The sequence below is a fragment of the Homo sapiens genome, chromosome 15 (genome assembly GCF_000001405.40).
Source record: "Homo sapiens chromosome 15, GRCh38.p14 Primary Assembly".
Taxonomy (NCBI): Eukaryota; Metazoa; Chordata; class Mammalia; order Primates; family Hominidae; genus Homo; species Homo sapiens.
In genome coordinates, this window is record NC_000015.10 from 49,297,389 (window position 1) to 49,322,076 (window position 24,688).

Here is a 24,688-nt window from a genome sequence, read left to right on the forward strand (position 1 = left end):
TACTCTGTTGACAGTTTCTTTTGCTGTACAGAAGCTCTTTAGTTTATGTCTCACTTGTCAATTTTTGTTTTTGTTGCAATTGCTTTTAGAGATTTCATCATGAAATCTTTGTCAAGTTCTATGTTCAGAACTGCATATACTGGCTGTTTTTTCTAGAATTTTTATAGTTTTAAGTCACACATTTAAGTTTTTAATCTACCTTGAGTTGATTTTTGTATATGGTAAAAGGAAGGGGTCCAGTTTCCATTTTCTGTGTATGAATAGCCACCTATCCCAGTACCATTTATTGAATAGGGAGTCATTTCTCCATTGGTTATTTTTGTTGACTTCGTCAAAGATCAGATGGCTGTAGGTGTATGGATTTATTTCTGAGTTTTCTATTCTGTTGCATCAGTCTATGTGTCTGTTGTTTTATGCTGTTTTGGTTACTGTAGCCTTGTAGTATAGTTTAAAGTTGGGTGGTATAATGGCTCCAGCTCTGTTCTTTTTCCTTAGGATTGCTTTGGCTATTTGGGCCCATTTTTTATTTGAATTTTTGAATTTTTTTTTTTCTAATTCTGTGAGAAATGACATTGGTAGTTTGATAGGAAAAGCATTGAATCTGTAAATTGCCTTGGGCAGTATGGCCATTTTGATAATATTGATTCTTCAAACCCATGAGCATGGAAAGTTTTCCCATTTGTTTGTGTTGTCTCTGATTTCTTTCAGCCATGTTTTGTAATTCTTATTGTAGAGATCTTTCACCTCCTTGGTTAACTATATTCCTAAGTATTTCATTCTTTTTGTGGCTATTGTGAATGGTATTGTGTTTTTGATTTGGCTCTTAGCTTGGACATTACTGGTGTATAAAAATACTACTGATTTTTGTACATGGATTTTGTATCCTGAAACTTTACTGAAGTTATTTGTCAGTTCCACGAGCCTTTGGGCAGAGACTATGGGGTTTTCTAGGTATAGTATCATATTGTCAGTGTAGAGAGATAGTTTGACTTCCTATTTTCCTACTTGGATGCATTTTATTTCTTTCTCTTGCCTGATTGCTGTGGCTAGGACCTCCAATACTATGTTGAATAGGTGAGAATGGGAATCCTTGTTTTGTTCTGGTTCTCAGGGGAATGCCTCTAGCTTTTGCCTGTTTAGTATGATGTTGACTGTGGGTTTGTTATAGATGGCTCTTATTATTTTGAGGTATGTTCCTTTGATGCCCAGTTTGTTGGTAGTTTTTAACATAAGGAGTTCTTGAATTTTATTGAAAGTCTTTATTTCTATTGAGATGATCATATGGTTTTTGTTTAATTCTGTTTATGTTGTGAATCACACCTATTGATTTGCCTATGTTGAACTAACCTTTGCATCCAAGGAATGAAGGCTGCTTGATAGTGGTGGACTAGCTTTGTGATGTACTGCTGGATTCAATTTCCTAGTTTTTGCTGAATAGTTTTGCATCTATATTCATCAGGGATATTGGCCTGAAGTTTTCTTTTTTTGTTGTGTCTTTGCCAGGTTTTGGTATTGGAATCATGCTGGCCTTATAGAATGAGTTAGGCAGGTGTCCCTCTTCTTCAATTTTTGGAATAATTCCAGTAGGATTGCTAACAGGTCTTCTTTATATGTTTGGTAGAATTTGGCTGTGAATCCATCTGCTCCAGGGCTTTTTCTGGTTGGTAGATTTTTTATTATTGATTCAATTTTAGAACTTTTTATTTGTCTGTTCAGGAATTCAGTTTCTTCCTGGTTCAGTTCCTGGAGTTTATTCATTTCTTTTAGGTTTTCTAGTTTGAGTGCACAGAGGTGTCCACAATAGTGTCTGAGGGTTTTTTGTATTTCTCTGAGGTCAGTGGTGATATCACCTTTGTCATTTCTGATTATGTTTATGTGGATCTTCTCCCTTTTTTCTTTATTAACTAGGCAGCAGTCTGTCAATCTTATTTATTCATTCAAAGAACTAGTTTTGGTTTCGTTGATCTTTTGTATGGATTTTTATGTCTCAATTTCATTTGGTTCAGCTCTGATTTTGGTTGTTTCCTTTCTTCTGCTAGCTTTGTGGTTGGTTTGCTATTGTTTTCCTAGTTCCTTTAGGTGTGATGTTTGGTTATTAATTTGAGATCTTTCTAATGTTTTGATGTAGGTGTTCAGTGCTATAAATTTCCTCTTAACACTACTTTAGCTGTGCCCTACAAATTCTGATATATATTTGTTTTCATTAGTTTTACAGAATTAATTTCATTGCCTTAATATCCTTCTTTACCTAAAAGTTATTCAGGAGCAAGTTGTTTAGTTTTCATGGGATTGTATGGTTTTGAGAGATCTTCTTGGTATTGCTTTCTTTCTTTCTTTCTTTCTTTCTTTTCTTTCTTTCTTTCTTTCTTTCTTTCTTTCTTTCTTTCTTTCTTTCTTTCTTTCTTTCGTGCTGTAGTCTGAGAGCGTGATTGGTATGATTTTTTTTTTAATTTGTTGAGAATTACTTTATGGCTGGGCATGTGGTCAGTCTTATAATACGTGCCATGTGCAGATGAGAAGAATGTATATTCTGTTGTTGTTGGGTGGAGTATTCTATAGATATCTGTTAGGTCCATTTGGTCAAGTGCTGAGTTTAAGTCCCTAATATCTTTGTTAGTTTTCTGCCTGGATGATCTGTCAGTAGGGTGTTAATGTCTCCCACTATTATTGTTTGGTTATCTAAGTCTCTTTGTGGGTCTCTAAGAACTTGGTTTTATAAATCTGGGTGCTCTAATGTTGGGTGAATATATATTTAGGACAGTTAAGTCATCTTGCTGAATTGAACCCTTTATCATTATGTAATGCCCATTTTTGACCTTTTTGATCATTGTTAGCTTTAAATCTGTTTTGTCTGAAATAAGAATAGCAACCCCTGCTCTTTTTGTCTTCTGTTTGCTTGATAGATCTTTCTCCATCCCTTTACTTTGAGCCTACATGTGTCATTGCATGTGAGATGAGTCTCTTCAAGACAGCATGCAGTTGATTCTTGCTTCTTTATCCCACTCATCACTCTGTGTCTTTTAAGTGGGGCATTTAACCTGTTTAAATTCCAAGCTAATATTGACATTTGAGGGTTTGATCTTGTCATTGCTTTGTTAGCTGGTTGTTTTGTAGCATTGATTATATAATTGCTTTATAGTTGATATGGTTTGGCTGTGTCCCCACCCAAATCTTATCTTGAATTGTAGTTCCCATAATCCCGACATGTCATGGGAGAGATCCTGGGAGGTAATTGAATCACGGTGCCAGTTATCCCCATGCTGCTGTTTTCATGATTGTGAGTGAGTTCTCTTGAGAACTGATGGTTTTATAAGGGGCTTTTCCAACCTTCACTTGGCACTTCTCCTTGCTGCCACCATGTGAAGAAGGATATGTTTGCTTCTCATTCCGCCATGATTATAAGTTCCTGAGGCCTCCCCAGCCATGCTGAACTTTGTCAATTAAACCTCTTTCCTTTATAAATTACTCAGTCTCAGGTATGTCCTTATTGGCAGCAAGAGAACGGACTAATACAGTAGTGTTGGTGGGCTATGTACTTAAATGTGTTTTGTGGTGGCAGGTACCAGTTTTTTGTTTCCATGTTTAACACTTCCTTAAGGATCTTTTGTAAGGCAGGTCCGATGGTAATGAATTCCCTTAGGCTTTGCTTGTCTGAAAAGGATTTTATTTCCTCTTCACTTACAAAACTTGTTTGTCTGGATATGAAACTCTTGGTTGGAATTTCTTTTTTTTAAGGATGTTAACCTTGAGGTGACAGTGTAGGGAGAGATGTTCAAATCAAGCAGTGGCTTGAAGCTTCTGTTAAACTAGCCAGACTTCCAAAGGCCCATGCGCAGTTCTTATTTTCTGTTTCCAAATTTCTAATAATTAGATTTAGAAATGCTCAGTGGCCATTCAAATTAAACACACACAAAGCAAAATCCTTCAATCCTTTAGATGTTGTTTAGAAACTTTTAGGAATAGTTTCAGGCTTATTTGCCAGGCCTTACCCACAGGTAGGAATTGTCTAAGGGTGTGGTAGAGTGGTCTGGAGTCTTGGAGCCTCAGGGGCCAGACTTAATTGGGAGGGATGTTTCCCATGGTGTGACCCAAGAAGAAAATTTGAAGCTGTGGTCAGGGTAAGGAGAGATAGGCAGATGTATCAAGCGTATAACTCAAGAACACACATTGGAGGACAGAAGAATTTCTGAGAAGGTAAATGGGCAGTGAAGTAGAGAGAATGGGTCAGTTGGTTTAGATTCTAGCTTAAAAAAAAAAAGGAATTTGTTGGGAGCATTTCTTTTGGGAGTGTCCAAACTGCTCTGGGTTGGGGTGGCCCAGCTGCTTAGCCACACTGTGCTGGGGTAGACCCAAATTTCATTACTTCAGTTATCAACTTTGCCTGTGACCACATGCTGACAAAGTGCTGGTCAGTTCCTGACTCATTTGTTTGCCTTGTATGATCTCCAGAGTCATGGGTGATAATCATGACTTTTAATAAAGAACAAAGCCCTGATGTAGATTGCTTTTTAGGAAGACACCTAGAGTCAATGGTAAAGAAAAAAAGAACAAAACAACTTGTTATACACTTTATAGTTCCCACGTGACCATTTACACACACCTTCTAATTTGAATCTCACAACAACCCTGGGGCACAGGGTTATCTGCATTTCACAGATGAAGAAACAGAGGTGAGAGAATTTAGTGATTTGTCAAGACCACATAGGTGGTACGAGCTGGAGCCGGACTCCAAATCCTAGTCTTCTAACTTAATCCAGTACTTTTTCTGCCATCACTTTTTAAATCTTGGCACACTTATAAGCTGCCCTTAGCAATCCTGCACCAATTACGGGAGGTGATATCAGTATTTTGACTTTGCTTGGCTCTAATTTTTTCTTGAGACTAAGGAGTAATGATAAAGATAGGTAGCTTTATGTCCAAAGAGTTTCCTTTATGGCTATTTCCCATTCTAGTGTTTTGGCCTTAGAAGAGATAAGACTGTGTGGCATCTAGAAGCTTGCTTTATTTAAGGAACAACTCAACTTGGCCATAATATGCATAAGCTGTTGTGTTCTAGAAGAGCCATGAGAAGTGCTATGGAATTTTCACGTTTAATAAAAATGCAGTTCTCATAGATTATCTTGGTTAAGTCTAAGAAGATTAGTTTGTTTTTATCTAATAAAAAGTATAAAGGTGCTTTACAATGTAAAAAGGGTCAGTTGTTTAGTAATTTAAATGTCCAGTTGAGGGTTCTCAATTATGAAGGAAATTGATTTAAATGTAGCTTATAAGATATCAAGCACTAAACTCTGTGATCTCAACAGATTCCATTGTTCTTCTTGTAAATGTTTTGGAAGAAAAGTTTTCCATAGAAAGCTAGACGAAACTCCAAAGGAAGTTTTAGACCCTTCTAGAGTTTACAGATGTTGGTTGAACAGAAATCCTTAAAATCTGTGAGATGGACTTCTAATGAGAAAGCCAATAAAATGGGTCCTTTGGTTTTGTCTATTGTTTTTGTTTTTATGAGAAAAATAATAGACTGTTGTAAAACAAAGTATAAAAGAATAAATCAAATAATAATGATTTTTCTTTCACACAAAAGATATTATTCTTTAAGTTGTTTTGGAAGTCAAGTTTGCAGAAAATTTGCTTTCATTAGTCCTTTTTTCTTTCTCTCTCTGCCTGGTCACTTCCTTTTGCCCATCAGCTTCTATTGACTTCTCAGTTGTCTGGCTGTGGAGGACAGGTTCATGCCAGGAATAAAGGTTCCTACCTTGTTTCCTAGGGAAAAAAAATGGGCTTACCTGATATCGCAGATAACCAGGAAATTCCACTTCCTCTTTCAGATGTGTGCGTGATATGTCCCTATTCATTGGTTCACCTTCCCCCTTCAAAACTAAAAATGAATGTGAACATACCTTATTAAGTAGGATTTTTAAAGGCACGGCATCATAAAACTTGCAACTTCTGTAGGAAGAGCCTAGGACATGTGTTGGAATCACACCAGTGATTTGTGTTGTGTGTTGGTCAGCTTCTCAGCCGCTGGTAGGTAGGTCAGTACTCACAGTGTGACTCTTGTCCCACAAGGCTAATGGTGACCATGGTTCTGGCTTCTGAGGCCAGCAGAGAAGTAACAATGTGCATGAACTGCCGTGGCACCAGCTGCTCCTATGTAGACCTTTGAAGCATGAAAAATACATGTCTCTCATCATTCTTAGTATATTTACTTATTTGCTCATTTTCCCTGTATGTACCTGGTTTCCTGACCCTGCCAACTATCTTCTTCACTCCAGCTGCCTCCTTGGCCTTGGCATCACTGGCCTCCTTGGTCTCCTCAGCTCTGACCACCACCTTGGTCCAGCCTTGCAGGCCTCTTTGTTTCTGACCCTGTAGTTCCTGTACATCTCCTCAGCCCCAGCTGCTTCTTTGGCTCTAGCCTTGCTGGTCTTCTCATTTGTGGCTGCCTCAAGGGGAAGGAAGGGAAGAAAAGGAAAGGAAAATGTATAATTTCTAAACTTGTAAATATATGTATTTAAGTCTAAGGAAATGTTACTCAGTATTCCCTTTGCTTAAATTTATCATGGATGTATCTCTGTCTTTCAGGAGTGAAATTATCAAAGGATCAGCTGTGAAGTTATTAGATACTATGTTTTGAGTAGAATGAGGCTTCTGCAGATATAAGGACATCTCATTGTCTCCTCTGTCACTCCTCTGCTGGTTTGGAAACATCTATAGGAAAGCATCTTCTATAGTCATCATCAACCTAAGAGGCCAACATCTTGCCATCCTATTTTCCTTTTTTGCTACTTATGCTTTCATTTTTACATTTTGTAGGTTTCCACATAAGTAAGTGTTCTCTTTGTATACAAAGCAGCTTTTCTTATGGTGAAATTCATTTATTTTGGTCAAAGTGATTGTCCTGTACTGGTAAGCTCAAACTGATTGTGCTTCAGTAACAAACAATTTCAAAGTCTCAGTGGCTTGACCAAGCAAAAGTTTATTTCTTACTCACTCTTTATATCTAACATAAGTCAGCAAAAGAGTTTGTTCATCTAAGACACTTATGGAGCTGGGCTCAGAGGGCTCCATCTCAACACGTTTGTCCACAATCATGGCAGGAGGAAGGTAATGTTGTTAATTGCTCTCTGGCTCTTAACATCTGCCAGAGTGACTGGCATCACCCCTATGCTCATTCGATTGGCCAAAGCCAGTCAGATGGATGTGATGAACTTCAGTGAGGGTGAGGTAGTACAGTCTTAATATGTGTGAGGATAGCTGGAATATTTGGAAGCAGCCTAATGACAACTGTACTTTCCCATGTTGAGTGGCTATGAGTCTCATCCCATCAAATCTTGGTGATACCAATGAGAACCAATTTACTTTCTCATATACAAATACGAAGTTGACATTTTTTCCAAACATCTGGGACAATGAATATTGCTCTTGATCAAATTTCAAGTTATTTTCATTTAAGAATTAGACAGACATACTGTGATCTCTTTTTATGTTACACATTTCTCTCATACTGGCATTTTATCTGCACATGATCTGGTGAAAGCTTACTTGGTAATGATGGCTTGTCACTTTCTTCCCTGTCTTGCAGAGTTCATGGTCTCTTTTCAGGAGCCAGTCATTCTAATATCCTAGTTCAAGAAAACATCTTCTTCTGTTTATTAGTTGTTCAATTTCTGTAGTCCTTTTTCAAAGTACTTAGCTTCAGGTGGAAGAAAGTTTCCTAATAATTTCTAAATTAGAAATTGTATGCTATTTTCTACCTACTGTGCCATTTGTTTCCAGGAGAGTCAGCTGAGGCGAGTAACTGTGGATGGATCTAGTGCCTTTTTGCAGGTTATTGCCAAATATTAATAGTAATGACAACAAAAATAATGACCTATTGTATGTGTATAGACACTAACAGTTTAACCATATGAGATCTCATTTGATCATCATTCATGTGGCAGGTTTCAGACGAAAATATGACAGGCCACCACTCTATATTCAGGGTAGAGACGCTCCATAGTTTTTTAGAAAATGTTTGAGGAAGATGGTTTCTTGTTTTGTCTTTAGAAAGGATTAGAATGGGAGAGACCACAAAGATTAACACCCTTAGTCCATTAGGACTTCTCTAATATTGGGAAACCCTTATTCTGTCAAGGGCCACTGATGGAACAGTAAAAAAGACCAGAGACCACCTACATAGGAAAGCAATATAATTTAGTCTTTTAATGAGAAGTTATAAAATGTTCCAAGAAGAAGCAATATAAAAGTCTACTTAATTAACACAAGAAATAGCAAGATACATGCTTCATTTCTCTATTTTAGCCTAAAAAGGGAAGGGGGACAGAGAGGATGAAGATCACAAGGGAAAGAGTCATATGAATAAAGAAAACAGGAAAGAGAATCTGATAAAGGGGGGAAGGTTGCTTATGGAAAAGCACATAAACACAAATGCAGAGAAACCACAAACAAACACACCTGTGTGCATTCACTTCCCAACTGGCTTCCGGAGAACTACATAAGCACATTTGTAATCATGGAGTGCTGTGAAATAGCAGCATCTTGATTTATTCTTTCAGGGTATTGCCAGTTATAGTGTAAACACCTTGAGAATAGGAACATCTCTAGATGTTTGTGAAAGTGAAAGATTTTTATCTTCTTAATGCTGCACTGCATTTTGGAAAGTTCAGGTATAGTGTAGGTGTATTGTCCTTCAATAGGAAGTTCGGAGAAGGGCCACATTTGGCACATGATTCAGAGCTCCCTCACTTTCAGTCACCCCAGGTCACTCTTCCTGTTCTGCTCCAGTACCTACCTTCCAAAAGCAAACTCCGGACAACAGCCTATGTAATCTAGTAGGGCCATTTTACATGCCAGATAGCATAGTTTCATACTTGCTTAAACTGTTGACGTAATCTGTTCACTGACTACTTTTTCATCATTTTGGGAAATAAATAACATAAGTAGAGATAGATTTTTATTCCTTTATCAACAAATGTTTGAGAACCAGCTATTTAAGCACTGTGCTAGGTACTGTGTATTAGAAGTCAGTAAGGCCAGCATAATCCTTATTATTATTTAATTTTGTGGGAAGACAACAATAAAATAATAACTAAAGTGTTCTAATAGAAATATGCTTATTTCACAGGTAAGCACTAATTTTTCTTTTGCCTCTCTTTCACCCCTTTTTATTCCCTTATGTATTTTTCCTGTAATTCAATTAATAGAAGAAATCTAGGATAAGAGCTTATTCCCTTTCATGTAAAAATACCAGGCCAGGCCAGCCCTAGGCAAGCATGACCATGTTTCTCATAGTCCTTCTTGCAGCTCTGCATTGACCACGATTCCTTCTTAACTCTCTAGGTTCCTTTTTAAATGGCTTGAAATTGTTTCCTCTTTTCACATTTTGCAAGAATGAAGTTTTAGGGAAGTTCTGGAAAATTAATGGGAAAGTAATTCCCTCAAGAGAGTGAGACACAAAAATGTGGCTCATCCAGGGAGCAGCTTCAGATTCTTCCCTTGCTAATAAGATGAGAGCAAGATGATGTGTATTGAGAACCTGCCATATTCAAGACACTCTATTAGGTTCCAAGGGGGCTATAAAGATAAAGAGGGCACAGTCCCTGCCCTCCAGAAGCAGTATATGGTAACTATAATTAGAAAGGAACACAAAGTAATTAAAGAAGTGTGCCGAGATGGGAGGTATGGATGCCTCTGACTGTTATGTTTTTGGAGAGTTTTGTGAAAGAGGTGGCATCCAGGCTGATACTGAAAGAGATGTGGGGATTGCAGAATCGGACTGGGTAGGATGCTGATGCAGCATCTTCATTCTGGTACTCTGCATGCTGCCAGTGGACAGGCAATGATGGTGCGGGGCAGGTATCTCAAGTCAACGGGGAGAGGATAGTGTCACAACCATACCATTTGGGGGACTGTTGATGTTTCTTGATGAATTGAAATACGGGGGCTTTCATTTGTTGGGCAATGGAAAAATACGCTAGATTTCGATGCAATGAAATATTCACAAATGCCACAATCAAAATGGCAATTTGGGAAGTTTGTTATGGTATGTATGAGCAGGTTGATTAGAGGGGAGAGGGATACCAGTTAGAAGGTAGTGCAATGGTACAGACATGGGATGATAAGAATCCAAACTACAAAGGTAGAGGGTAGAATGGAAAGAAGAGAGTGATGGGCTCTGTCTTGTAATGTGTATGACCCTGGAGTTATTTACAGAAGCTTAGCATATGCCAGCGTGTAAAATGCAGGTGAGGGTGACTACAGTGGAGTGAGGCAAAGGTTTTGATCAGCGGAGTAAAATGTACTATGGAACAGACCTTGAAGGCTCTTGCTACTTTGGAAATCTGAGAAAGGGAAGCCATAAACATGAGGAGCACTGTTACTCTCCATAAAACAGCATTATGCTGTTGATTTTCAAATATTCACAAATGCTTCTTGGAATGTACTTTTCCATGGATTAGTGTGTTTTATGTTGAAAGTGCATTTTTTTTCATCAGCGAGTTTGCTTTTAAAATCAGGTAAAGATATTTTCCCTTTAAATGTAAAATGCTAATTTAATTTAGTCTTTGCAGCATGGGAATGGGATACTAATGTGGCTGAAAACAGCAGTTTATTTTTTGTGGGTTTGACCATTTCAGAAGTTTAACATTTTTAAAAAATATTATCACTAGGAAAATAAATTTGAAACCACATTCCAGCTTCAATGAGGATTATTCAAGTGTTTTTCAATTATATTGCTTAAATGCTCCAAAGAGTCTTTGCCTCAGAGCACGGACTTTTTATTATGACTTCACTGCAAAGGGAAACAGAGGACTCTGTTCTGGGTTCTGAAGTGGTTTTCCTCATCCATCTCTGGATTGCTCTTCTTGGAAACCAACTTTTGGTTTAGCCTAGTGGAGCTTTCTATTTGTTAGAGAAATTGACCAGTAATGTGTAGTTATATGATTGTGCATAGCCAGCTACAGCCACAACTACTTTTAGCCCCTCACTCAAACAGTGGGAAAATATTCTAGGGTATGAAAGTCTCAGAAAGATTAATTATACACGTACATGATAAAGATTTCCAGTTATCTCAGACCAGCATATTTATTCTTTATGATTAATTATCCTGAGATAGTCTTCATTCAAGGTAATGAAATATTCTTAAAATACTTATTGCTTTTTAGCTTGATAGCTGAAAACCAATGCTCTGCATTCTTCTGTATTTATAAACCTTTATGCAGTTTGGTGATATGAGGCTACGTGGAGAAACTCGCTGCATAAAGAATGAGGGAGATGATGGTCCAGCTCTCCCTTGCAGTCATCAGCTGACGTCCAGAACTGCATTCAGGCCTGGGAACCACCCTTCAAGAAGGGCATACACAGACTAAAGTGTATTTGGAAGAATAAACAGGTGAAGGAGACTGGAAATTTGATCATGTTGGAACTTGGAAGGTTGCTCTGGAGAGAAGACTCAAATAGTTGTGGTATTTCACTGCTGCAGTGGGCAGATGGCAGCAGCCATAGTTTTGGCTACCTAGCATCTGGGCCCCTTTTCCATCTCAGGGAAATCTGCTGTGTGTATGTTGGTGATGGAGAAGGTCTTGCATTCTATGGTAGAAGCTGAAGGGTCAGATTTGTCTCTTTTGAGTCACTTGACATCTGCATGTGGACAAGGGTACTAGGCTTCTTCTGGTGTCCGGGCACTTGTTTATGGCTGGGGCTTTGAGTCTAACAGGCATAGGTCAGTTGATAAAGTGTCTAGATTCCAATGTCATATCCAGACTGCTCTTGTGGAATGATTTTGGCAGTGTTCTTCACTGGCTGCTTCCCTTAGCTTCTAACCACTTCCCACCTGGTTTCACGTTCTAATAGAGAATGGAAATATATAATCCTAAAAGATTTTGTGAGCTTCTCAATATCTTCAAAACAAGTTTCTTTTTTGCTTAAGGTAGTTGGTGTAGGTTTCTGTTGTTTACAAACAAGAATGCTGACTGATATAATTACTAAAAACATAATGATTTCTTATTTCTAACTGGAATTATTTTATTTTTTACTATTTAGTGAATTTTTTCTTTAATTTTTAGTTAACATATGACAATTGTGCATATTTATAGGGTACAGAGTGATATTTCAATATAGGTATACAAATGTGTAATGATCAAGTCAAGATAATTAGGCTATACATGACCTCAAACATTTAGCATGTCTTTGTGTTGGGAACATTCAGAATCCTCTTTTCTAGTTGCTTGGGTTTTTTTTTTGTTTTTTTTTGAGATGGAGTTTCATTCTTGTTGCCCAGGCTGGAGTGCAATGGCATGATCTTGGCTCCCTGCAACCTCTGCTTCCCGGGTTCAAGCAATTCTCATGCCTCGGCCTCCTGAGTAGCTGGGATTACAGGCATGCCCCACGACGCCCGGCTAATTTTGTATTTTTAGTAGAGACAGGTTTCTCCATGTTGGTCAGGCTGGTCTCGAACTCCCGACCTCAGGTGATCCACCCAAAGTGCTGGGATTACAGGCATGAGCCACTGTGCTGGACCTCTTCTAGTTTTTTTGAACATGTATAATAAATTCTTGTTAACTGTAGTCACTCTACAGTGCTATAGGACACTAGAACTTATTCCTCCTATCTAGCTACAATTTTGTAATCATTCTCTTCCTACTTGCCTTCCCCCACTACCCTTCCTGGCCTCTAGTAACTATAATTCTATTCTTTACTTCCATGAGCTCAGTTATTTTTAGCTCCTGCAGATGGGTAGGATCATGTGGTTTTTAATCTCTCTGTGCCTGATTTATCTCACATAACATAATGCCTTCTAGGTTTATCCATATTTCTGCTAATGACAGGATTTCATTCTTTTTTATTGTTCAATAGTACTCTATTATGTGTACATGCCACATTTTCTTTATTCATTCATCTGTTGGTGAACATTTAGGTTGATCCTATATCTTGGCTATTGTGAATAGTGCTGCAATAAACATGGGGTACAGATAGCCCTTTGATATACTGATTTTCTTTCTTTTGGATAAATACCCAGTAATGAGATTGATGAATCATATGGTAGTTCTATTTTTAGTTTTTTTAGAAACCTCTATACTGTTTTCCATAATGGCTGTACTAATTTACATTCGCACCAACAGTGTAGAAGAGTTCCCTTTTCTCTGCATCCTCACCATCACTTGTTATTTTTTTGTCTTTTTGATAGTAGCCATTCTAACTGGGTGAGACGATACCTCATGGTGGTTTTGATTTGCATTTCCCTGATGATTAGTGATGTTAAGCATTTTTTCATATTCCTGTTGGCCATTTATATGTCTTCTTTTGAGAAATCTCTATTCAGACCCTTTGCCTATTTTTTAATTGGATTTTTTGTTGTTGTTGTTGTTGAGTTGTTTGAGTTCTTTGTATATTCTGGATATTAGTTCCTTGTTAGATGAATAGTTTGCAGGTATTCTCTCCCATTCTGCAAGTTGTCTCTTCACTCTATTGATAGGTTTCCTTTGCTGTGTAGAATCTTTTTAGTTTCATGTTGTCCTATTTGTCTATTTTTGTTGTTGTCACTGGTGATTTTTGTTGTCTTACGCATAAGTTCTTTGCCTATACCAGTGTCCTGAAGCATTTCCCCTGTGTTCTCTTCTAGTAGTTTTATAGTTTTGGGTTTTACATTTAAGTCTTTAATCCATCTTAAGTTGATTTTTTTATATGGTGAGAGACAGGAGTCTATTTGTCTTCTTCTGCATATAAATATCCAGTTTTCTCAGCACCATTTATTGACAAGCGTATCCTTTCCTCAATCTAACTGGAATTTTTAACCAGGATTCAACAATAGCTTTATGGAATCTGTGTGTATGTTGTGTTATATGCAGTATTTTGGTTATTTGTTCATTCACATGGGGGAGAGAGTCCATTGTTTTATTTACTTCTCAAAAGGTTCTGTAATCCCTAAAGGGCCAAGAACCACTTATCTGCAGGATACAATTTAAACATCTTAGCATGACATACAAAGTCCTCATTATCTGGCTGGCCTCAGCCCATTGCTTTGATTTTCTCTCCTGTTACATTCTCTGTTGCTTCTATTTCTTTATCCTCTTTTCATGCTCCAGTAGTCAAAGTACTTTGTTTCTCTAAAAGCACCTAATGGTTTATAATCTCGACGTCTTTGCTCTTAACGTTCTTTCTGCCCAACCCTTTTCTTTGCTTCTTATCCCACCATTTCATTGGTTTGCTGAACACCTACTCATCTATTTAGACTTCACTGGTTTAATTCCTATGTGGATGTAATGATTACTGTGCTATATCCTCTTGGATATATCCGTATTGTACTTTATATTCTGATTTCAGCATTGCTGGCAGCCCATGTTAAGCTAGCAGCTTGTATGAGTGCCTCTTCTTTGTAGCCATTGTGCGTTCTCCAAAGTCACTAAGGCAGATGTGTTACCCAGGCACATCTTTGTGGAGAAGTTAACCCTTCTAGGGGGAAACACTCAAACAATGAGAATGTGAATGGGTCAATGCCCCAGGCTTCCCATTGCCTGTGGGCCAATGGTAGGCACATTCGACATGACTCTTCAGAGAGATCCCTGAGAGATTGGGCCGGGGGCTGTCCACACAGTTAATCTGCTCATTAAGCCCCCTTTATTGGCTTGCTTTCTTTCCTGAATCACTTTTCTTCCTCTTTCACTCCTGCTTTCTAGATTACTGCTCCCTGCATCCAAGTCTTTATCTCAAGCTCTACTCTCAGGTGCATCTAGATCCAGACACCCTCTTGACTGTGTGCATCTATTTTAGCTGTGAGATGCTGCTTTAGCATCTCTTGCCCTTTGTTGATCTCATTTAATGATTTCTTTCTAGTAGACTATTACTTGTGGGGCGTAAACAGCTTATCTTATTGTGATGTGAGTGGGCACCATCCAACTGGCTGCCAGTATGGGTAGAACAAAGCAGGTAGAAGAAGGGAGATAGGTTTTGCTGAGTCTTCTTGCTCTCTTTCTCTTCCTGTGTCAGATGCTTGTTTCCTCTCCTCAGGAAGGACATCAGATTCTATGTTCTTCAGCCTTGGAATCTGGGACTTAAACCAGCAGCCTTCTGGGGGCCCTAGGGCCTTTGGCTTCAGACTGAGGGCTGCACTGTTGGCTTCTCTGGTTTTGAGGTTCTCAGACTTGGACTGAGTCATACTACTGTCCTCTCTCCCTCCCCAGCTTAGAGACAGCCTATCAAGGAGACTTCTCCTTGTGATTATATCAGCCAATTCTCCCTCTTTTGTATACCTATATATCCTGTTGTTTGTGTCTCACTGGAGAACCCTGATTAGTACACTTATTCATTATTGGTCCCTAAGCAGGTACATAGTGGACCCTCAACAATGTGTAAAAGGCACAGTGCATGAGAGCTGTCTTCAGATATCTGAAGGGTTACCTTGTGTTTACATATGTCTGGGGAACAGAACCAAGACCAAAGAGTAGAAGTTACAGGAAGACAGATTATAATTCAATACATTGTTTATCAGTGCACCTATGGGAGGTGATATTTGATAGCAACAGTAACAGTGGCTCATTATGGCATGATGACCCACTCAGGGAAGATATTTGCCCACTCTTCTGCTGAGAAGTCCTATTATAGAAAGTTTTATAGAACAAGGACCACAAGCACATACCTGCAAGGACCAGGCTGGCATATAAACTAGTGAGGCAGGCTAAGTGTCACATAGTTGGGAATGGTGAGAACTGTGTGGAATAAAGTGTGTGTACCCTGACTCAAAGGGGTAGGTACTCCTTAGCTCCAGCCAACAGTTGCTAGACAGTAATGCAGATCCAGCACTGTCAGACCTTCCAGTTTTCCAAAAGTAAGTAGAAATCCAGATTCTTAGGTAAATCTTCCAATATAAAGACATTTGAGTCAAGAAGGCATCACCGTGGCTGGCTATGGCACATGGGTTGTTTGTAATCTTTGTGTAGTGGATGTAGCTGAGGATGCTAAAGCCTCAGATGTGAGGATAGCTTTCTAGAGAGCCAGATTCTGGTCAGCTTGCTCTCTTCAGGCCCATGAACACACTCTGCCTGTTCCCACCTTGGGCCTTTGGCCATCCTCTCTTCACAGAAGGGACACTGTGTGGCTCAGGCCCCTCTCCTGTGACATCTCCCACTACTGGTCCTTCCCCAGCAAGCCCTGTCTTCTTGGTGCACCTTCAGCATTTCCAGCACTCAGATGTCTGCTGCAATTGCTCACTGTCTAGTAGTGTCATAGTTTGTCTTATCTGTGTAACTAAGTTATAAGTTCCCTTAATGCAGAGGTTCTACTTCATGTGGCTTTCCTGTCATTTGGAGCACAGTATTGGGTGCATAGCAGGTGCTCAATAAGAACTGTTGGTTAACTTTTGCTAGATGACTATCATACTCAGTGCTTATGGCATCCCTCTTAGTAGAAGATGAGGTAATAAAGAAGAGGCCACCAGCTCTTGCATGGAGAACTTAAAATTAAATCAGTGAAGCTCTTTCAGATGACTCAGTGCTTTTGGCATTGCTCTTAGCAGAAGATGAGGTAATAAAGAAGAGGCCACTAGCCCTTGCATGCATAGGTTAAATTTAAATCAGTGGGACTCTTTCAGAGATGAAATAGACATGTCCTCTATCTACTGTTGACCTGCTGTCCTCAGAGCTTAAAGTGGCGCTCAGTGTGCCTCACCTGTCAAAGGCTTTCCCTCACCATTTCCCACCAGAGATCCAATAAAATAACCAATTATGTGTGCCCTGATTTAGATTCCTTGATTAGAGATGGGTTCTGATCATAAACTATGTAACCATCTTTTAAAGGAAAACGTTAATAGGCAACTCTTTGTTACAAAGATTGCCTAAAAGAAAAACTAATTTTAACTGTTTACAATTATCCATTTTTATATTCTTTCTCTTTTATTTGAAACAGATTTTGTTTTAGAAATCTCTTTTCTCTCACATCTGTAAAGCAAAATACAATATAAACAATTCTCAGTCATCTGTGATAATGAATATTAGGGTATACTTTGGGCACTGAAGTTTACTAATTGTTTCCAAACTTTATTTTAGCAAACTTTCCCCACTTTTTGGTGAGGATGCTAGTGAGTATAAATTGTTAAAATAGTATGTCTCCTTTATATTCCATATTGTACTTGTCTCACTACTGTTTATTTAGCCTAGTTTCAGTGCAGTTTTGTTACAAGGAGAAGGATTTGAATTATGCATTCAACAAACATTTATTGAACCCCTACTAAGTGCCAGATCCTATTTTAGCTGCTAGAGATAGTTATGAAGAAACTAGACAAGGCCCTTGCTTTCTTGGAGCTGAGCTTCCATTGGTGGGAGACAACCACAAACCAATGAACAAATGAACACACAGGAAAATATTGGATGGTGATAGGTGTTGGGAGCATAAAATAGAATGGAGAAAATATGTATGTGTGTGGGCTACTCCAGATTGGAGTTGAGTCTCTTCAAAGCTGTGACATCTGAGTGTTGAACCACAAGAAGGAACCAGCCATGTGAAGATCTTGGGGAAGAGCATTTCAGGACAACAAAACAGCTACTGCCAAGGGCCTGTCACAGGAGCCACATGGTGTGCTGGAAGCACAGCTCGGAGGCTGGGCAGAAGGAATTTAGCCAATATAATTTATTATACAAGCCAAAATTATTAGCAACAAAATGAAATATTTATTTTGCAGTTTAAGTATATATAGCCATGAACATTTAGATTTCAGAATTTGTGCCATGATTTCATGACTAGATTCAGTAATTATTTAAGATTCACATTGGAGAAAATCAGTGTTCTGAAGACTATGACGTATATCCCGCTTTGAAGTTTTGGATTTTTCTTGAATAGGATAGGCCATTAACAATATTGGAGGAAAATATCATCTAGTGTTATATTCTTAAATTGAATTTGCCTTGGAAGTAATCATGCATGCAATGAACATAGTAAGAAACAGCTTCTTTCATCCTTTAATGTAATAATTGCTCCCAAGGATTACAAGAGCTTATAGACAGCTGGAACATCCAGCTATAATGTTAGCTGGACAGGGAAGAAAGTTGTTATGGATAAAGCTTCAGATTTTCTTGGATTTTTTGGTATCTGTATAACAGAGACCTGATGAGTTGCCAGCACATAACAAGCCAGAACCCTGGATCCAGAGAGCATTTGTGACATTCAGCCAACACAGAACTGCTTTCCCACCCAAAGGGTGGTCTCCAAATCTGTTGTAGCTTTTGGCAAGATTTTTATATCACAATTGAAAACAGATGCCCTTTCTGCCCTTTCCCTTGTTGTCTGAGTTACTACCGTTCAAGAGATTGCAAGCCATGGCAATCTCTCATGCACCTTCAGAATGCCCAGCAAGAGTCCTCGTTAGACATTCCTATTCAGAAGTCCTGCTGTGACACACTTCCTCTGCAAGAAGAGAACAGATTCAGGAAGGTGCCAGGATTGTGAGGTTCTGGTAGTCTGCAGGGTGTACTGTGAATGCTTTTTGTCAAAATCAAAGCACCAGTCCTGGGTTTAATAGAAAACATCTCTCTGGATAGTTTCTATTTTAAAATATTTAATCCTAAAATAAAATATTTAATCCTAAAGAAATATGTAATCCTAAAGGAAAACCAAAGTGTACTCTCCCTGATGGACTATATTGAGTTTTATTACAGGATATGGCCCTAAAATGTGCTTGGATGGGATATTGAAAATCCAGAGTATCAAAAATCACTAAACTACTAAATTCTTGATTGACTAAAAGAGACTTATTAGACATAACAACTGAATATAATGTGTGGAATTTGTTTGGATCTTGGTGTAAACCAGTTGAAATGTAAACTGGTGGACAATTGGGAAAATTTAAATATGGACTGAATATCAGGCAATATTAAGGAACCACTGGTAATTTTGTTAGGTGTGATAATGATATAGTGGTTATCTACGAAAGTAAGAGTTATAAGGACAGTGCTGTGGAGGGGAAAAATGAAACCTGAAACTTTAATAAGATTTATTGGTTCAAACACCACATGTTCTCACTCGTAGCTGGGAATTGAACAATGAGAACACATGGACACAGGGAGGGGAACATCACACATGGGGGCCTGTAGTGGGGTGGGGGTAGGGGGGAGGGATAGCATTAGGAGATATACCTAATGTAAATGACGAGTTAATGGGTACAGCACACCAACATGGCACATGTATACATATGTAACAAACCTGCACGTTGTGCACATGTACCCTAGAGCTCAAAGTATAATACAAATAAATAAATAAATAAACAAGAAAAATCAAGGGCAAAAAAAAAATTATTGGCTCATTAGTAGAAATGTAAAAGTGCTTCAGAAAAAGTAATCATAGTTTAGGGGAGAGGAACCTAGGGGCAGACCCAGGAGGAGAGAAAGTCATGTAGAAAAGGAGATTTTGAAGGATGTTCAGTGTCCTTCAGTGGAAAGACACTGCCAGCTCTAAATGGCTCTGCAAGGGAGGAGCCGGGGAATAAATCCTCTGACATCACTCTCTTCCCTCCCATCTATTGCTGATCTTTTCCTGCTCTCAAATCTAGATGGCAAGGGACTCACTGGTGTAGTCTATACAGGTCAGCCTTTGGGGCTGATAGTAGGGTGGAAAAGGGCAGAGAGTAGGACTGGGGTGTAAACAAAAGCTACCAGTAACAGCATCTTCTTTACAAAGTATAACAATATGGGGGGAATGTTGAAGGATAGATACTTTTGGAAGAAGCCCTTCATAGAATTATAAAATGTTAGGGCTGGGAGTATCCTGAGAAGTGATTCTCAACCTCATTTTAGAGGTGAGGAAATAAAGGGAGCATTATACAGGTAGCAATTTGTGTACAGCTAGTTGTCACAGATCTGTTAAGAAATTACAGACTTTTTGATATGAACAGACACTTCTCAGAAGAAGACATTTATGCGGCCAAAAAACGTGAAAAAAAGTGCATCATCACTGGTCATTAGAGAAATGCAAATCAAAACCACAATGAGATACCATCTCACACCAGTTAGAAAGGCGGTTATTAAAAAGTCAGGAAGCAATAGATGCTGGAGAGGATGTGGAGAAATAGGAATGCTTTTACACTGTTGTTGGGAATGTAAATTAGTTCAACCATTGTGGAAGACAGTGTGGCGATTCCTCAAGGATCTTGAACTAGAAAGACCATTTGACCCAGCAATCCCATTACTGGGTATATACCCAAAGGACTATAAATCATTCTACTATAAAGACACATGCACACATATGTTTATTGCAGCACTATTCACAATAGCAAAGACTTGGAACCAACCCAAATGCCCATCAATGATAGATTGGATAAAGAAAATGTGGCACATATACACCATGGAATAATATGCAGCCATAAAAAAGGATGAGTTCGTGTCCTTTACAGGGACATGGATGAAGCTGGAAACTATCATTCTCAGCAAACTAACACAGGAGCAGAAAACCAAACACCACATGTTCTCACTCATAAGTGGGAGTTGAACAATGGACACATGGACACAGGGAAAGGGGAACAACACATACTGGGGCCTGTCAGTGGGTTGGGAGCTAGGGGAGGGATAGCATTAGGAGAAATACCTAATAGAGATGACGGGTTGATGGGTGCAGCAAACCACCATGGCATGGTATATCTATGTAACAAACCTGCACATTCTGCACATGTATCCCAGAATTTAAAGTAAAATTAAAAAAAAAAATTATAGACTTTTTGATTTTCAGCCCTGTCTCTTTCCCCTAGGCCTGGGAATTTTCATAAATTTTCCAAAATTTTCCCAGACCCACCACACCAGCTCAGCAACTGTTCAGCATGGGTGAAAATGGTAAGGAAGTCTCAGTTGTTATTCACAGGAATGTGTAAGCATTATAGACATAGCCATTGCAATATACCATGTTTCTGTAGCTGAAATTACAGTGTCACTGTGGGTAATCTGGAAAATACATATATGTGTCAAAAGGAAAATAAAATCACCCATAATGGACCACAGAGATAACTAATATTAACATTTTCGTGCTTTCCTATCAGTTTTTTAAATTAAAATATACATAAATATGTGTATGCAAAATTAGTATCAGTTGTACATATAGTTTTGTAGGTTGTTTTTTCACTTAATAATGAATAATTTCCTATATATCAAATTGCCTTAGAATCTGAGTTTTGATAGCAGTAATATTTCAAAAATGAATATAGCATAATTTTTAAAAGTCCTCTGTTATTAGATATTTGTTTCTTATTTTCTTCTATGATAAATAATGCTGCAATATATATATATAGGTACATATATAAACATTATATATCCCATATAAATAATTGTGTTTATCTGGGACATATAATATTTTTATTTAAAAAATTGCCACCATAAGAATTTCCAGTGGTCCTTTCTGTTGGGGCAGAGTGGAAAGAACATGGCTCTAGGGCCAGGCATCCCTGATCTGTTTGGCTTCCGCCACATTCTGGATGTGTGTCCTTAAGCATGTCACTTCACTCTATTGAGCCTCCTTCTCTTTTCTGTTAACAGGGATCATACTGCACATCCCTCAGTGCTGTGATGAGAACTTTATGAGGTAGTACTTTTCTTTCTTTCTTTTTTTTTTTTTTGAGACGGAGTCGTGCTCTATCGCCCAGGCTGGAGTGCAACGGCGTGATCTCAGCTCACTGCAACCTCTGCCTCCCAGGTTCAAGCAATTCTCCCACTTCAGTCTCTCAAATAGCTGGGATTACATGCACCCACCATCATCATGCCCAGGTAATTTTTGTACTTTTAGTAGAGATGGGTTTTCACCATGTTGGTCAGGCTGGTCTTGAACTCCTGACCTCAGATGATCCACCTGCCTCGGCCTCCCAAAGTGCTGGGATTACGGATGTGAGCTACCGCGCCTGGCCTACACAAAGTAGTATTTTAAAGTGTTTGGCATGTAGGGTGTACTCATTACATGTTAGGTCTGTCTTCATTTGGGATGGATTAGATTGCACACAAGTATATGCACATGTGTGTTGAGTGAAGTGAAGGAAATATAGTTACAAGATTTTATTCAGTATCAAGAAAAAAGTAAACCTGACTTGCCGATAGACACATTTCAATTGAAAGAATCCTTTCAGCAAGAGAGACCTATTGAAGTTTAAGATACTGATAATGAAAACAGAAATGAAAGTCTTTAAAAGTGTATTTTTCTTTATACTGGGTTGTCCAGTAACTATTCCTAACCTCCTTCCCCATCCTCTTCCTTCCTCAGTGCTCATCTTCAAACTCTATCAGCGGGCAAAGCATGTGTACAGCGAGGCTGCGCGAGTGCTCCAGTTTAAGAAGATATGTGAAGAAGCACCTGAAAACATGGTCCAGCTGCTGGGAGAGTTGATGAACCAGAGCCACATGAGCTGCCGGGACATGTATGAGTGCAGCTGCCCCGAGCTGGATCAGCTGGTGGACATCTGTCGGTGAGGCAGCCTGGTGGGGGCCAAGGGATGCCATCAAATAATATTGTTTAAATTAATGGAAAAAAATGCAACATTTCATAATCTACGGGAATGAAGATCATTCCCCACTTCCTATATGAGGAGTCTCTGATGATACAGAGCTACACTTGTTCCCTTCTAAATACCTGTAGGATGAAAGATTTGCTACCTGGCTCCATGATTTTATGAGGCTCTGGGTTTGGAGTCAGTTTGGAGTCAGCTCTTTACATCATGAGAAAGACCTTTCCGTCTTTGGATGATTAGGCCTTTCAGGATGGTAACTTTGCTCAGAGCTGGGCCCTGTTAACTTTCTTATGATATGTTTTATTATACTGCTGCTCTGCCAGAAACTCCTGTCCAGTGTCCTAATTAAGTTTAGTAGTTCTACTCAGAAGAAGGGAGAAAACTGACAGAGGATCTCAAGCTTGATGGGAGCATGTGGGGAGATTTGCTGAAGGAATCACCCAGAAAGCCAGCATTTCCTGCCTTCTAGGTTTAGTTTAGGCAGTTTGAGGAAATAAAGGCTGAAGAAAGCCCAGGTGATACATGGTTAATAGAGGCAGAAATGTAAAGAGGACAACTCTTTCACAAAGCCTAAAATCAGCTTTCCTAAAATTGTGAAAGAATGGAGATAACAGAGTTAGTCCTCTTACCCAGGAAGGAGCTCAGTGACCCTGGGAGAACTGAAACTGGGAAAGTTCTCAAACGCTAGATGTTACTTCACTGTGAGAACACAATGCTACACTACAATTAGTAATGGAAATGTAATTAACCACTTGGCACTTGTGGCTTGCCTCAGTCATTGCCACACTCCCAGCCTGAAAAGTTTAAACCAAGTAACTCCAGTGATCACAAATGGCCTGGGTAATCCAGCTTGTCAAAAGACTTGAACACAGCATTGATGAAGATCACTCTGCTGACATGTTTGCTCACTCATTTCCAAAAGCCTTCCCCAGCTTGTTTCATTTTAAGTACCCTTTTCTGAAAATATCAAGGGCCTAGTATATGGAAGGGACAAATATTGTTCAGTTCTGGAAATAAGAGGAAGTGGAATTATTTCTGCAGAGATCAGGAAGAAATGTCTTTGCCTGGAAGGAAGTGGGATGGTTGGAATCCCACCTGAAAAGCTGCGGAAGGGCATTTGCCAGCTTCCTGGAATTCTCTAATAAACTTTCTCTTCCTAGAGTGGTCAACCTGTACTTGTTTTCATGGAGCTTACATTCTCGTGGGGAAAGAGAGAAATGACAATTAAAAATAATTTGAATGGTAGTGATAAGTGCTATGGAAAAAAATGAGAAGGAATAGAGACTACAGGTTTGGGTGGGTACTCTTTCTGTGGAGTGGTTGAAGAAGGTCACTCTGACGAAGAGATCTTTGAGCAGAGGCCTGAAGGAGGTGAATAAATGAGAACAGCAAATGCATAGGCCCTGAGGTGGATACTTGGCTGTCAGGTGTGAGGCTCAGCAGGATCAGCATGGCAGAGGGCCAGGAAGGAAGGAGAGGTAGTAGATGAAGTAAGGAAGGAAGTGGGGAGCCACACCATATAGGCCGTGTAGGCCATCGGAAGGCTTCTGGCTTTGAGAAGAGAAAGGGGGCAATGGAAATGCTAGGCAATTCTATGCCAAATATGCCTGCAAGGAAGACTTAGATAATTGCTGTGTGGGTATAAGAGAGAAATCAAGACGACTCCTGGGTTTTTGTCCTGAGAAACTTTCCTTGTGCCTCTAAAAGCCACATTTTTGAAAAGCACACTTCACCACTGTAGGTAAGAGTTATCTTAGAGTACCATAAAATATTAGATCAGGAAGGGGTCTTAGAGATCCAGGAAGGCACTAAGAGATGAAATAATTTGAGTAAGTTTCACATATGAGTTCATTGGAAAGCCTGGCTCCCAATCCAATGATTTTGCCACACGTGCCTCTCCCCTTGGGTTATACTAAGATGTGATTACACTTAAATGTGGGTCATACATACGTGTGTGTACGTGTGTGTTTGTAACCTATTTTCATCTCCTAGCTTTGAAGCTTTATGATGGAGGCCTTTGTTGTCATAGTTTCCAGCATTTGAACATTAAGCAAAGTCATGTTGAGCAGGAACGTAATGTGTAGAGTAGGATGAAAAGTGGGCTGGAAGTGAGGAAGCTTGGATTCCGACTCTCTTTTCATTCTGAGCTCTGTGAGCTGGAACTGTTGCTTCGCTTTGTGTTCTCCATTGGCTTTTTCTGTTCTAGCAGTCTACAGACCTATACATTTA

General features: G+C 39.1%; 1 protein-coding gene across 18 annotated transcripts in view; it reads left to right on the forward strand.

The window, feature by feature from the left end:
• GALK2 (galactokinase 2) overlaps positions 1 to 24,688 on the forward strand; it is a 211,967-nt gene that overhangs the window by 141,615 nt on the left and 45,664 nt on the right. For 12 of the 18 annotated variants that reach the window (NM_001001556.3, NM_001352048.2, XM_047432349.1 and 9 more), the window contains one exon: positions 22,216 to 22,417. In NM_001001556.3, coding sequence (NP_001001556.1) covers positions 22,216 to 22,417 — 202 coding nt within the window. Of the gene's footprint in view, positions 1 to 11,219; positions 11,385 to 21,500; positions 21,547 to 21,657; positions 21,729 to 22,215; positions 22,418 to 24,688 lie in introns of those variants that run through there. The other 6 variants (XM_047432347.1, XM_047432348.1, XM_047432351.1 and 3 more) reach the window with 3 other exon arrangements.